Source organism: Homo sapiens, chromosome 4 (genome assembly GCF_000001405.40).
Source record: "Homo sapiens chromosome 4, GRCh38.p14 Primary Assembly".
In the NCBI taxonomy this organism is placed as follows: Eukaryota; Metazoa; Chordata; class Mammalia; order Primates; family Hominidae; genus Homo; species Homo sapiens.
Genome location: NC_000004.12, coordinates 74766045 through 74780364, shown reverse-complemented (window position 1 = coordinate 74780364; position 14320 = coordinate 74766045). Strand labels below are relative to the sequence as shown.

Below are 14320 nucleotides of genomic sequence, written 5' to 3'. Positions count from 1 at the left end.
ACACACCTCATTCTTAGTGATTTCCACACAACATTTGTCTTCGCTGTTAAATACTTAGTGAGTGGTTTTCTATACTAGTCAGATTCTTAATTGGGAATCTGTCTTTCAGGATGTGGTGGGCAGTCATTGAGAAGCTTCAACTGGCAATATGTGTTGTGACTATTTCTTAATGAGTCTTCTTTTCATAGGCCACACAATGAAATCAATTGAATTATTTCATAGTCACACAAAACACACCAAGAAGGCCATTGTTTCTTAATCCTTTTTTGTATAATTCGTCACTCCAGCTGAACAGCTTTACTCATTGTCTCCCAAAGACACCAAACTCATTTCTATGTCATTTCCTTTGGTCCTCAGTTTCTAAGTTCTTCTGTGAAACTTTTTGATTTTTCCAGCTTAACACATTGCCACTTTTTGGAATTCCAAGATAATTTATGTTCTAAACACCTGATACCTAAGATATTCTGCCTAATATTTCTTTATTTATATTCCTAGTCTCTGCAAATGGTTTTATTGATAAAGATGATAACAAATTCGATGCTAAGTTGGGTTGGCTTACTCTAACTCATTTAAAGGGTTTAAGTTCTGGGGCTTTTTCAGGTTGGGTGAGCATCTACTCTGAAATCTTATGTTCTTTTCTTTACCATTATTAAAGTTTGATGACTGTTTCCTCATGGGTCAGAGACCATGTTATCACTAGATCCAGAAACCAATGCCACAGTTTCACCTCACTTTGCACTTGGATAATCCTCCTTGAAAACAAATTGTCCTTTTTCCTTGGTTCCTTCACCTCCTCTCTTTGAACTACTATAGAAATTCAGTGAGCCTAAAACTTTTCATTCAAATTGTCACAATGCCTAACTGCCTGGTTTGGCCTTATTATAAAGGAATGGGAATCAAAAAGTCAAGTTTTGACAACTGACGATTTCTGAGAAACTAGCTTCAGATTATTTTGGAGTTCCTATTAAATTTAGTCATTCAATCAATTTGTCACAGATTTAATAATGGTAATAGTAAAAAAAAGGTTGATTTACTGGCAAAGACATTGTCGTGTTGACAGTTTTCAGATACCTGAATTAGTTTGTGTATGACAGGTTGTTAAATTACTTTCCCTTCTGGGCTTTAAAAATATAAGGTTGTGAAGTACTTTTATGAGTTAAAAATTGTATTATCAATCAGTTTTAGCCTTTCCTAAACACCAAGATATTATTTCTACCATTCAGAATAGAGTTTTACATTGGAGGAAGAAGGAGTTCATATTTTATTTTTCTGAATTTGAATGAACATACACTATTTGTAAAGACCCTCTTCTTTTTTTCTTTGCTCCTGTCTCTGCTTCCCATGCTGGCCCTGAAAACCCAGAAGCCTGTCTTTCAGTTTTAGAGAATAGGCAGTTCTCCAGATGATGTGATTTAAGAAAACTTGGAAAATTCCTCTGTCCTGGAAAATTGTTCCCCAGGAGATGTCCTGATGCCCAAATTGCTCACTGTGTTGGGACACAAATATTGTGCACCTCCTAAGAGTCTTTCAGCCACCTTCATTGTCTCTTGGTCAGCTCCTCCCCATGCCAGGTTGCTCCACTTTGAGACTTGGATAAAACACCATGTCCCAGGGCATGAGTTCTGGCCTCTCTGTCACCAAGGGGTCAGAACTGAGGGAGTTCATACTCAGTGGGGTGAATTTTGACCAGTGGGAAATTGGTGATGAAAGTGATTGGGTCTGATACATTCTTCCTCCTTTCATTTTTTTTCCACTGGACTGCTTCAAGGTATGAATTTTTTTCTTGAGCCATTCATGTGGCCTACATACTAGTAAACATGCTGTCTGAGCAAATTTCTGTGTTTCTCTGCATCTCACTTTGGAACTACACACTGCATGATAGGTGCACACATTTTATTGTTTTGTCCCTTTCTTTGCTTCGTTTCCTTTCTTCCTTATTCTCACTACCCCAAGCTTGTAACTCTCAAATAAAGTGGTAATCCCTTAGTCTGTACATTAGGTTCTGCTTTCTAGGAAACCCAGATTGAGGCACTCCAGATTTTAGAGTGTTTCTTTTGAGTTAAATAATTTCTCTCCTTGAAGGTCTGCTTTGAAAGCAAATACATTTAGAAACAAAAATCTGCTCAAGAATTATGTTCTCCTTGGGGCCATGTTAAAGCAGAATGAGGACAATGGATTAAAGGAGGGCAAAAGACAAGAAGAAGAAAAGATAGAAAAGGAGTTAACAAAAAAGGAGAACGCTGTAACATTACACCCATTTCACAGTTTTCATCTCAGCTAACCACAAACTCAGTGTTAAACATTATTTTCACTCCCTATTTTTTTTTTCAAACTCCACGTTAGATAGGGTCTCTTTTTGGACTTGGAAATTACTCTGTGTATAGTATGCATATTTAAGATTCTGTTTTCTTCCTGACAGTGAAGATGTAATAAGAAAGTTCCCCAAATGCTTATTGCTTTTACTCCTAGTGTTGATTTCAACTTAAAAACTTTAATTTTATTTTTTAAAAATTAGAGATATGATTTATAATTCACTTGATTTTTAGTTATTACTATGATCTGACTTTGTCAGCTATATTTGTATTATTGAATCATTTAACCAACCAACTGAATCAGTAATCCCAACTGACATAAATGGTATGCTGAGTCACTGGCAGAACTCTACTGAAAACACAAAGAACTATGTATGTAGAAGGTGTCATATTTCTATTAATTAGCTGAGGCATATTAACTTCAAATTTCTTCCAAAAATTAGAAAGAAGGAACATGCAGAGAGGCCAAAATATAGTTTTGTCTCATTAAGTACATACAAAAAAGCATACTGTAGAAGGTATGCATATATATGTGTATTCATCTTTCATAGTTTATATCAGAAACATATTTTATACACAGTGAAATCACACCATAAATGTAGAAATTTGTCAGTATCCACTTATGAGGCTGAGAATCTAGTTTTTTACCAGGGTAATTTAAATTTTTGTTCTTTTACTTCTGGTCACTTAACAGCTACTATTTTTTGAGCGCTTACCCTGTGCAAGGCATTACCTAAGTTACAAACGCATAATTTCTACCCTCCACCTTCTTTTCAGCACACAGCTACATTTTTACCATGGCTATGTAAGTTAGGTATTATGAGCCTCAGTTTACAGAAGAGGACCCTGAAGCTCAGTGGTTGAGAAACTCAATCTTAATTATAAATCTCGTGCATAAAAGGTAGATCTAGGATTCAAAAACAGCTCCATCTGACCCTAAAGCTGCCTTTTCTCCGTTACTCTGCACTGCTTCTCTTTAATGTAAATAAAATGATAGAGGTGCGACAATGAAATATTCTTCTAATTTCTGCTTATGTTCATAGGTTGATACATTCTTCTTTGACTTAAAGCTGGATTTTCTAATGAGACATGGAATGTGATTCTGATCTTAAATGATATGATATGGCAAGGAATCACTGGATTTAGTATACATAAGTAGAAGTTTGGAGTGTATCTAGGAAGATGTCCTAAATCATCAGAATATAAATGAATGGACATTTTGTGATATTATATTTATTTTTAAAATACAAAATGCACTTGGCTCTAAAAATGGAAAATTCAGCTCAGAGATGAGGCAAATACAACGCACATGACTGTTTAAGTTGGTCATGTATGATCTTTTTAAATAGTTGACCCAGCTGGTGTACTACTTACCTCAGCATTAGCAGTGACTTTGAGACGGCGTGTCATGCTCCTTGTCAGGCTGCCTCTTTTTGAATGCTTGTATTGTTTACACTGACTTCATTCCCCATGCTGACTGATGGGGATAATACTTTTAATACATTCTGTAATATTTAACTTGAGAATCTCAAAATGCATAAAAATAAATACAGCCTTGATTCACTGAAGTACAATTGGATTTCTTTTCCTTTTGTCTTTAATTTTATGAGTGGAGTTGATATTTTAAAACTATCCCCAGAAATAAGGACTAATTTCTAGTCACTTAGCAAATGCAGTTAACATTAGTTTATTTTGTTTGTATTGCTTTAATGCACCTGAGAAATTCTTCAGGTCCTGCAAAACAGGGAGGTATGGATAATAGGTTGAATGAAAGGATCAGACAACAGATTGTGAAATATTTGAATGATAGGTGAAATCTGACCCAAAAAACATTTAAAAGGAAAAAGTGTAAAAACTATTTTCTTAAGGTAAAAAAAAAATGCCACAAAACAGAGCTATAGCAATGAAAAAAAGAAACCATAAATATATTGCTTTCCAGCAGTATAAAAAATAGAGGAGCTTCATTTTATGGTAAGGAGAATAAAACCCCAGTATTAATGTGATAGGCAAAAAGGGCTGATATGCTATGGGGAGCTCCCAGTGTAGGGCCTGAAAGCCCCACTTTATTCTGTCTTTGCCAGACCCTGTGGGATGGCACTTTATTTTGACTTTGCATTTAGGACAGGACGACAAGGCTTATGAGGGGTCTTGATGATACCATAAAATATGATTGAAAGAACCGGGATGTTTAGCTTGAAGAAGTGAAATTCTTTCAGGAAGACTTGATAGCTGGCTTCAAATATATGAGAATCTGTCAAGGAAAAGAGAGCTTAAACTTATTTTAGGTGATTCCAAGGAGCAGAGTAAAATAACAGGAAGGCAAAAACCAGCTCAATATGAAGAAACATTTATGGAGCTTTAGAAGTAGGTGTTTAATTTTTTTGAATGAATGAATGATCATGATTGAAAGAATTGATGAATAGTCTCCTTGAAATGGCATATTTCGGAAGAGATTGAAATTTCTGTACTGAAATTTTAAATACGGGCTTGAGGAACTTTCCCAGGGGATGATTTCTGGGGAGTTGAGAGTTAGTTGGTGGGAAATTTTAATACTTTTAGTTTTTACTAATTCTAAATTTTAACATAACCTATGATCTTTTTGAGTGGAAATCTTACTGTGTTTTCTACAGCTGAGTATCATATTTTCCTTCATCTTCTTTAAAATACAATTCATGCTTTCCCAGATAAAGATGATTATTTTAATAATGTACGTTCCTTTAAACTTTCTTATTTCACTGGATTTTCAGAATTCTGCCCTTAATCAGCATTTTCTTTTCACATTTCCTTTTTTGAGAAGTCTATTCTCATGGAATTAAATTCCAGTTTATTTTCCATGATTCCCCAAAATAGAACCTGCAGCTTGGCTTTGCTCCAAAGTTGTGGATCTATACCTCATCTACTGCCCTCTAGATGAGCCACAGTCATCTCAAACTCAGTGACCCAAACTGAATTCCTCTCTATGCTCAACCTGTTTCCCTTCTTTATACCTTGTATCTTTGTGATTGGTACCACAATCCAGACAGTTATCCAAGCGGTAAACTCTGGGGTCATCCCAGACTCCTTTTTTTCACTTCCAGTCACCAGGTCTTTCATATTTGATCTGTGGCTATCCCTCATAGGCCTTTCTTTTTTCTGCATACCTGGTGCTATCATCCTGGTTTAGGTGTGTCTGAATCACCCATGCTGATATTAAAGTAGTCTTTTCAAAATGGAAAAAAAAAAGATGATTATGTTGCTTCTCACTTAAAACTTTTCAGTGGTCTCAACTTAGCTGCATAACAGAATCCCAACTAATCAACATGGCATTGAGACCTTTGGTTGCCTACGTGCTTGCCAGCCTCCTCTTCCATCACAATCCCCACCCACCCTCCAAACAAGCAGGAAAAGTTGTGCTGTTTCATGCCATGTCTTTTAACAAGTTATTCCTTTTACTTATTACAAGTTGTTCCTTTTTTTTTTTTAAAGAATGCCCTGGTTAACTACAACTTTATTTGTCCTTTTCTTAATAATCAGTTATGTTTTTAATAAAGTGATAAAAAATCAGATAGTACTAAAAGGCTTATAACAGTAAATAGCAGATCTTTGCACCATACTTTCCTGCCTCTCTACCAACCACTTTTGACTCGTTTTGATGTTTCTTCTGGTATTCAAATGTTTACTGCAATAATTTCCTTATAATGCAACTTCTTGACTTGTCAGGCTTAGACTTTATCTGCTGACCTTATATTCTCTCATAATTCCAAGACCGGTACTCAAAACATTCAAGAACTGGCAGAGCACACACTGATTAGTCACAACCAGTTATCCCATATGGTGTATGTGGGCTAATTACTGGCCCTGAGTTTCTGAACATATTTTGTTAAATTATCAATATTGACATTACTATGACCACATAAATATTATCCACTGCTGAAACAATTAACACATTATGATTGTTATCTTGCTTACACTTTTTTTGTTTTTGTAAAAGTTATTAACTGATGCTTTTAAAAATCATTTATTCCTCATTAAGAACTCATGGCAAATCTCAATTTCTCCATGAAGTCTTTGCCACTAGGCAGAGTTGATTCTCTATCCTATTACTTCTGCATTATCATCGTTGTTGTACATATTATACTGTACCTTAAAGATTTGTGTGTCGGGCCGGGCTTGGTGGCTCATGCCTGTAATCCTAGCACTTTGGGAGGCTGAGATGGGTGTATCACTTGAGGTCAGGAGTTCAAGACCAGCCTGGTCAACACAGTGAAACCCCATCTCTACTAAAAATACAAAAATTAGCCAGGCATGGTGGCAGGCACCTATAATCTCAGCTACTTGGGTGGCTGAGGCATGAGAATTGCTTGAACCCAGGAGGCGGAGGCAGCAATGAGCCGAGATTGCACCACTGCCCTCTATCCTGGGCAACAGAGTGAGACTCTGTCTAAAAAAAAAAAAAAGTTTGTGTCTATCTTACCAGAATGTGATCTCCTTAAGGTTAATGATAATACCTGTGTCTGTTATCTTAGAGCCTTCAGTGTCTTGAGTCTTGCACCAGTGTCAAATACATCATGCTTAATAAATATTCATTGAATTATGAATGGAGTGTCCTTTCTCTTTATAGCAGCCTTTATTGTTTAGTAGATAGTTTTGTGAGCATTTATCTGATTTCTGAGTCTCTTTTTACAGATCACAAACTCAAATACCTGTTAGGGCCTGAGTAGTTAAAATAAATAAGTGCAGGAAGCCTCATGGGTTCTGGGACACTTAAAGGGGTCACCTGCTTCTTAGTTGCAGCCAGCTGTTGCTAGGAAAGCATTTCAGATCTGTCTTGCGAGACCTTCCACTATTTCAATGGAAGAAGAAAACTCAGGTTTAATATGAACTGCTTTGATTCAATTATTAAAAACTGTGCAGGCCAGGCAAATGCTTCTTCAGGCTTGCTTTGGTTCACACCCACCAACCTGTGACCTGTAGGTTGCTGGGGTGGGCAGGAAGAGGAGCAGCTCATGCTCTGCTTGGTTTGGGAGCTGGCTTGGCTGAGGATACCTCCGCCCCAGTACTCTGCCTCCACCTGTGAGGACAGCAAACTCCTTTTGCCAACTGACACCAGCATGTGAAACAAAGCTTAGCGGAAGGAGCCTGGGCCATAGCCCCCAGCCTGTGGGGATGTTTGAAGGCCTCAGCAGGGTTTCAAAGGAATTAGAACTCCCTCTGTGAGCAGAATTGGAGAATAATGGGTTAAATTATAAGTGATAGTGAGAAGGCGTGCAACTGGACTGCAAATTGTATATTATGTGCCAAGCCACGTGCTCTTTTTAAAAATAAACTTAAGTTTTACAATAACCTCGAGAAGGAGATACTACCATCCTCAGGTTGCAGATGCGGAATCTCTATGAGATTTAGAGTTTTTTTTTTTTTTTTGTTCTCACCATTAGAAGAAATTAAGGTCTCCTATTACTGCCCATGAAGAAAGCCCATGGATGGGATTTTAGAAATGAATTAAACATATTTTATTATTTTCCAGTAGAAATTGCTCTTGGGATTTTTGAATATAAAGAGTTTTTTTCTTGTTCGTTTATAGATTGATTCACTCAGTCTTTTAACATTTGTTGAATATTCATTAAATTCTGTATTAGGCACCAGGATTACAAAGATGAGTAATATAAAATTCCTGTGCTTCAGAAGCCCTAAATGATTGTTTGTTTCTATTTGTTCTAAGTGTGAAGGAAAGGGCAGGTGCTGGGAGTAAACGTGTAAATAATCTAGAAATTTGGTAGCCAAATTGCAATTCACAAGAGAAATACATGAGTCACTCCTTTTTTCTTGTTGCAACAGATAAAATGTGCTTTTAGAAATATTAGAAAGTACAAATAAGGAAAATTAAGAAAAATGTTGACTTAAGGAAATTGTGAGCAACTCTCTATTTACTTATTCACCTTTTGACTATATGGATAGGTTTTTACACTTATCACACTTAAACTCACATACACAAACAGATGAGTACATACTCCCACAAACAGATCACGCTATATTATTATTCTGTGGTCTGCTTTATTTAGGAACACAAGATGTTCTATTCATGTTTGAATATCATCTTTTAATGGCTGAATAGTATTTTATTGCATGAATTCATTCAATGTACTTAATCCTCTGTTGTCAGTTATTTAGGTAATCTACATTTTTTTTAAACTCATGCCATTTTGCAGCTAAATCTCTTTATTTATCCTGAATTATTTCCTTAGGAAAAACCATTAGCCATGTAATTACTGAATTTAAGACTTATACATTGTGTGTGTATTTGCTTTTATGTTTTGTATAGTGCTGAATTGTTCTCAAGAAAAGCAGTACTAATTTACCCATCACCAGTGGATTTGAGTTTCCATTTCTCTTCACTGTTACCCATGTTAGGTACATTTCTTTCTTTGAAAACATGTTCCAATTAGATAGGTAAAAAAGAGCCTCTCTTTCAAAAGACCCTTTTGAAAACTCTTGACCTTTGAACTTGCTGGCCACTGTTGCTTTCTGGTACAGTAGTAGCACTTTGTGTTATGGTTAATTGGCTCCACAACTTGGGGGCAACTTGAGGATCTAGCGATCTAGCACATCCTATTCACCTGTGTGTTCCTGTATGTTCATGAATGTTTGTTGAACCAAATTGAGTTGGAGAACATACATAAGTTTAGAAATCATTAGATGTATAAATTTCAATACAACTGGTGGACAGGCTACTTTATTCTTGTCAGTTGCATAACAATAAGTAATTTTTATTGCACATTGATTACCTACCAGCACCGTGTTAAGTGCTTTTCATACTTATCTGGCAAAAACAGCTCTTAAACTCAAGACCAGCTAATTCCTAAGCCATCTTTCTCTTCCTTGACTTTCCTCCCTCCTCTTCTTTCTTTTTCTATTCTTCCCTCCTATTATTATGGACATGTTTAAACATATACGAACCAGAGAGGACAACATAATGAACCTTGATATACCCACCATCAGCTTCAGCAATTATCAATATGTGGCCAACCTTATTTCATCCATGCCTTTTCGTCACTTCTTCGTATCCTCCTTCTCATGTTGGATTATTTTAAAGCAAACCCCAGATACATCAATTTTATCCATAATTATACACACACACACACACACACACACACACACACATACACGATATAGACCCTGTTTTGTAACCTAAACCACAATATCATTATCATACTTTAAAATATCTATAACAATTTTTTAATATTATCTAGTGTCCAGTCAGTGTCAAATTTCCCTGATTATCTCAGAAGTGACCTTTTCTGGTTGGTTTGTTTGAATCAGTATCTACACAAGGACTGCACATTGTATTCTGAACCATTCTAACCACAGCATGGCATTCTTCTCTCCCTCGTAAAACATGTGGCCCGTCCTTCTCAGAAACAGAGATTCTTAGCTAGAGGAGCCTAAAATTTTTAAAGAATTCTCATGGATCAAATATCTCCCCAGAAAGAAGCACATTCAGTTGTTAACACCTGAGAACGCTGGCTCTTTGTGGAATGGAGAAGGCACTTTGCTTGCCGTGCAGGTTCACCATTCACTCTCCCTGGAAATTCATCAGTAGTTTCACTCAGGGACTGGGAATTCAGCTGCTCTTACTTCTGCTTTTGTTATAAGGCTCTTTCACAAGCTATGACCAAGTTTCCTCCTTAAGATCCATAGTTAGATATAAGTGATGGTGGCTTGAAAATTCATTCTTTAGCAATGAGCTGAAAATGTGCAGCATGCTGGCCTCTGTATCCCTTCCTGGGAGTGAGTGACTTGGAAATGGAAACCATAGTCTTGTTATTTTCATAAATGGGTGAAATGGGTGATGACTTTGATAGACTGTTTCACAATAAGCAAATTTTCATGTTTGATTTTGGTTCTGTTTTGAATTTGAAGGTCTAGTGATCCTTCACTGTGTGGTGGCAGATGGGAATTCCACCAGAAGTCCTGAAACTAATGGCCTCCTCTGTGGAGACCCTGAGGAAAACTGTGCAGGTAAAGTTTAACAAGTTTTATATTCAAATCTGAGTTTTAATTTTCTGATAATAATAGTACTCATAATACTAGGTAAACATTTGAACATATATTAAGGTACCAGTCACTGTGCTAAGTGCTTTATATACAGTAATTAATCACTACTCACAAGAGCCCCCTGAGCTAGATAATATTTTTTATTTTATTTCAAGGAGAAACCTACAAAGATTAAGTAACTTGCCAAAGGTCATACAGCTGGAAAACAGCAAATCTGGAATTCAAATGCAGGTCTTTCTGATTCTAGAGCCTCCAGTCAGCCACTATATTTTGGGTCACAGATGCATGCTCCAGACTCTAGCATGTGATGTCTTGGACTGGATTCAGGAAAAGCTGACATATTCTACCCAAAGTTAAATTCTTTTTTTCTTTTCTATTTCATAGTTAAAAGAAGGGAAGAAGGCAAGGATTTTACATATTTTACCTTGGAGATGCTTGAATTAGTGTTCTCAAACTTATCAGTCTAAGGCAGTATTTGGCCTTAGTAAAGGTTTTAGTGAAGGCCTTAGTAAGAGTTTTAGGCTTTGTGGATCATGATGTCTTTGTCACAACTACTCAACACTGCCACTGTACTGTGAAAGCAGTCATAGACACTATGCAAATGAATAGGCTTGGCTCTGTTTCAGTAAAACTTTAGTTAGAGAAACAGGCTGTGGGCCAGATCTGATCCTTGGACTACAGTTTGCTGACCCCTGGTCTAAGGTTATGTTTGTTCTGTATAGATTGTTTGTTCTGTATAGATTGTATGTTCTGGTCTTCTACAGGGGTTATTTCTGACTTAAAAAAAAGAAAACAAAACACAGACCAATTAAAAAAGTGGGGTGCAGTAGAGAAGAGCCTCCTGTATTCCCTGGAAACTTCTATGAACTGGGAGTATGATGACTTGGTGCAAACTGCTCCTTTCCTAGCACCCTCGGGAAGTTGTAACAGAGCCAGGAACACACTGAGCAAGTCTTCCTGATGTGAGTCATCAGTTCCAGCCCAATTTTCCCCTTTCATCCCTCACAGTAGTGGGTGGTCAGAAGGTGCTCATCGGCTGTAAAATCTAATGGTGTCTTAGGTCATGTTTGGGTCTTGTCATCCATGTAGGCAGAAGAACAAGGCCAACTTTATGTGTTCATGTGTTTTTCTTCAGTCTGGTTTCAAATGTCTTCAATGATGGCATTTTTTCACATTTCCCTTGGGAAATTATCCCATAATTTGATGACAGACAATGTTCAAAAATCTTCCTCATCATCATCCTAAATGTGTTTTCTAATTTTATTTTTATTGTAGTAAGAACATTTAACATGAAATCTACCCTTTTAACAAATCTTAAAGTGGACAATACAATATTGTTAACTATAGATTAGCAGATCTCTTCAAATTTATTAATGTTGCACTAACTGAAACTTTGTACACATTGAATAGCAACTCCCCAAGCCTCCAGGAACCACCATACTACTATCTGCTTCTATAAATTTGGCTATTTTAGATGCCTCATATAAGTAGAGGCATTCATATTATATTTGTCTTTCTGTGACTGTCTTATTTCACTTAGCAAAATTGCTTTCAGGTTCATCCATGTTGTCACAATGGCAGTATTTTTCTCTTTTGTAAGGCTGAATAATATTCTATGGATGTACTACCGTACTTTCTTTATCCATTAATCTGTCAGTAGACCCTTGGGTTGCTTCCACCTTTTGACTTTTATGAAATAATGCTACAGTAAACATGGGCATACAAGTATCTAATTGAGATCTTGATTTTTATTAGGTTATTTGTTTCCTTGTTATTGAATTGTGAGAGTTCTTTATGTATTTTGGATATGTGTAATCAATATGTTTTGTATAGTGCTAAATTGTCTTCAGGAAAAGCAGTACTAATTTACCCATCAAAATGGATTTGAGTTTCCATTTCTCTTCACTGTTATAACTTCTAACCCTATCTCTGCACAGCCCAAACTCTGTTGTTTCTTTTGCTGTGAAGAAGCTTTTTCATTTGACATAGTCCCACTTGTTTATTTTGCTTTTGTCACCTGTGCTTTTGGTGTCACATCTAAGAAATCATTGCCAAAACCAATGTCAAGAAGTGTTATCTTACGTTTTCTTGCAGGAATTTTACTGTTTCGGGTCTTAAATATAAGTCTTCAGTCCATTTTGAGTTGATTTTTGTATAACAAGCGGGTCCAATTTCATTCTTTTGCATGTGGATATCTAGTTTTCAAACATCATTTATTCAAGAGATTACCCTTTCCTCATTGCGTATTGTTAGTACCTTTGCTGAAGATCAGTTGTTCATATATTCATGGGTTTATTGCTCGACTGTCTATTCTGTTCTATTGGTCTTTATGCCAGTACCATGCTGTAGATGATTTAAAAACCAGGAAGAACGATACCTCCAACTTTGTTCTTGCTCAAGATTGTTTTGGCTATCCAGGGTCCTTTGTAGTTTCCTTTGAATTTTAAATTTGTTTTTCCATTTCTGTAAAAAAAAAAGTCATTGGAATTTTGATAGTCAGTCTGTAGATCACTTTGGGTAGTATGGAAATTTTAACAATATTAAATCTTTTAGTCCAGAAAAACAGGATGTCTTTTTATATATTTTTGTCTTCCTTAATTTCTTTAATTAATATTTTATAGTTTTCAGTGTGCAAGTCTTTCATTTCTTTAGTTTATTCCTACGTGTTTTATTCTTTTTGATGCTATCGTAAATTAGCTTATTTTTTACTTTGCTTTTTGAATAGTTCGTGATTAGTGTGTACAAATACAACTGGTTTTTCATGTTGATTTTGTATCCTACAACTTTTCTGAATTTGTGAATTAGTTCTTACAGTTTGTGTGTGTGTGTGTGTGTGTGTGTAGTCTTTAGAATTTTTTATGTATAGGATCATGTCATCTTCAAACAGAGATGAAATTATTTCTTTTTTTCCAATTTAGATTCCTTCTATTTTATTTTTTCCTAATTGCTCTGGTTAGGACTTCCTGCGCTATGTTGCATAGAAGCGGTTAGACTGGGCATTCTTGTCTTGCTCCTGATCTTGGAGGAAAAGCTTTCTAATTTTTTACCATTAAGTACCATGTTAGTTAAGGGCTTTACATATAAGGCCTATTATTTTGGGGTAATTTCCTTCTATTACTAGTTTGTTAAAAGTTATTATGAAAAGGTGTTGAATTTTGTCAAAATGAATTATGAATGAGTCTATATTAATTAAGGACATTGCCCTGTAGTTTTCTTTTCTTATAATGTCTTTGTTTAACTTTGGTATCAGGGCAATGCTGGCTTCGTAAAATGAGTTTGGAAGTGTTTCTTCCTCTTCAATTTTTTGAAAGAGTTTAAGAAGGATTGGAATTACGTATTTAAATGTTTGATAGAATTCACTAGTGGAGGCATCTGGGCCCTGGCCTTTATTTGTGGAGGTTTTAGATTATGACCAATTTCCTTATTAGTCATAGATCTGTTCATATTTTCTGTTTCTTTATGATTCAATCATGATTGGTTGTTTCTAGGAATTTATCTGTTACTTCTTCGTTATTCAATTTTCATGGTAGTCTAATATAATCCTTTTTATTTCTGTGACATCAGTTTTAAAAGTACAAAAAATAGAAAAAGCTTATAGAATAAGATACAAAGAAAATATTTTTGTAGAGCTGTACAGTGTGTTTGTGTTTTCAGCTGCTATTACAACAGTCAAAGGAAAAATTAATTTAAAAGTTTATACAATAAAAAAGTTACAGTAAGTTAAAGTTAATTATTGAAGAAAGAATTTTTTTATAATACAAATGTATTGTAGCCTAAGAGTACAACATTTATAAAGTCTGCGGTGGTTTATGATAACGTCCTAGGCCATCATGTTCACTCACCACTCATTCACTGACTTACCTAGAGCAGCTTCTAGTCTTGCAAGTTCCTTTCATAGTAAGTGCCTTATACAGATATACTATTTGCAAACTTTTATATCATATTTTTACTGTACTTTTTCTATGTTTAGATATAAA

General features: G+C 35.7%; 1 protein-coding gene across 5 annotated transcripts in view; it reads left to right on the top strand.

Annotated features, from left to right (window-relative positions):
* BTC (betacellulin) overlaps nucleotides 1–14320 on the top strand; it is a 49765-nt gene that overhangs the window by 14159 nt on the left and 21286 nt on the right. For 4 of the 5 annotated variants that reach the window (NM_001316963.2, XM_047416103.1, NM_001729.4 and 1 more), the window contains exon 2: nucleotides 10209–10307. In NM_001316963.2, coding sequence (NP_001303892.1) covers nucleotides 10209–10307 — 99 coding nt within the window. Of the gene's footprint in view, nucleotides 1–10208; nucleotides 10308–11107; nucleotides 11900–14320 lie in introns of those variants that run through there. The other variant, XM_017008568.2, reaches the window with a different exon arrangement.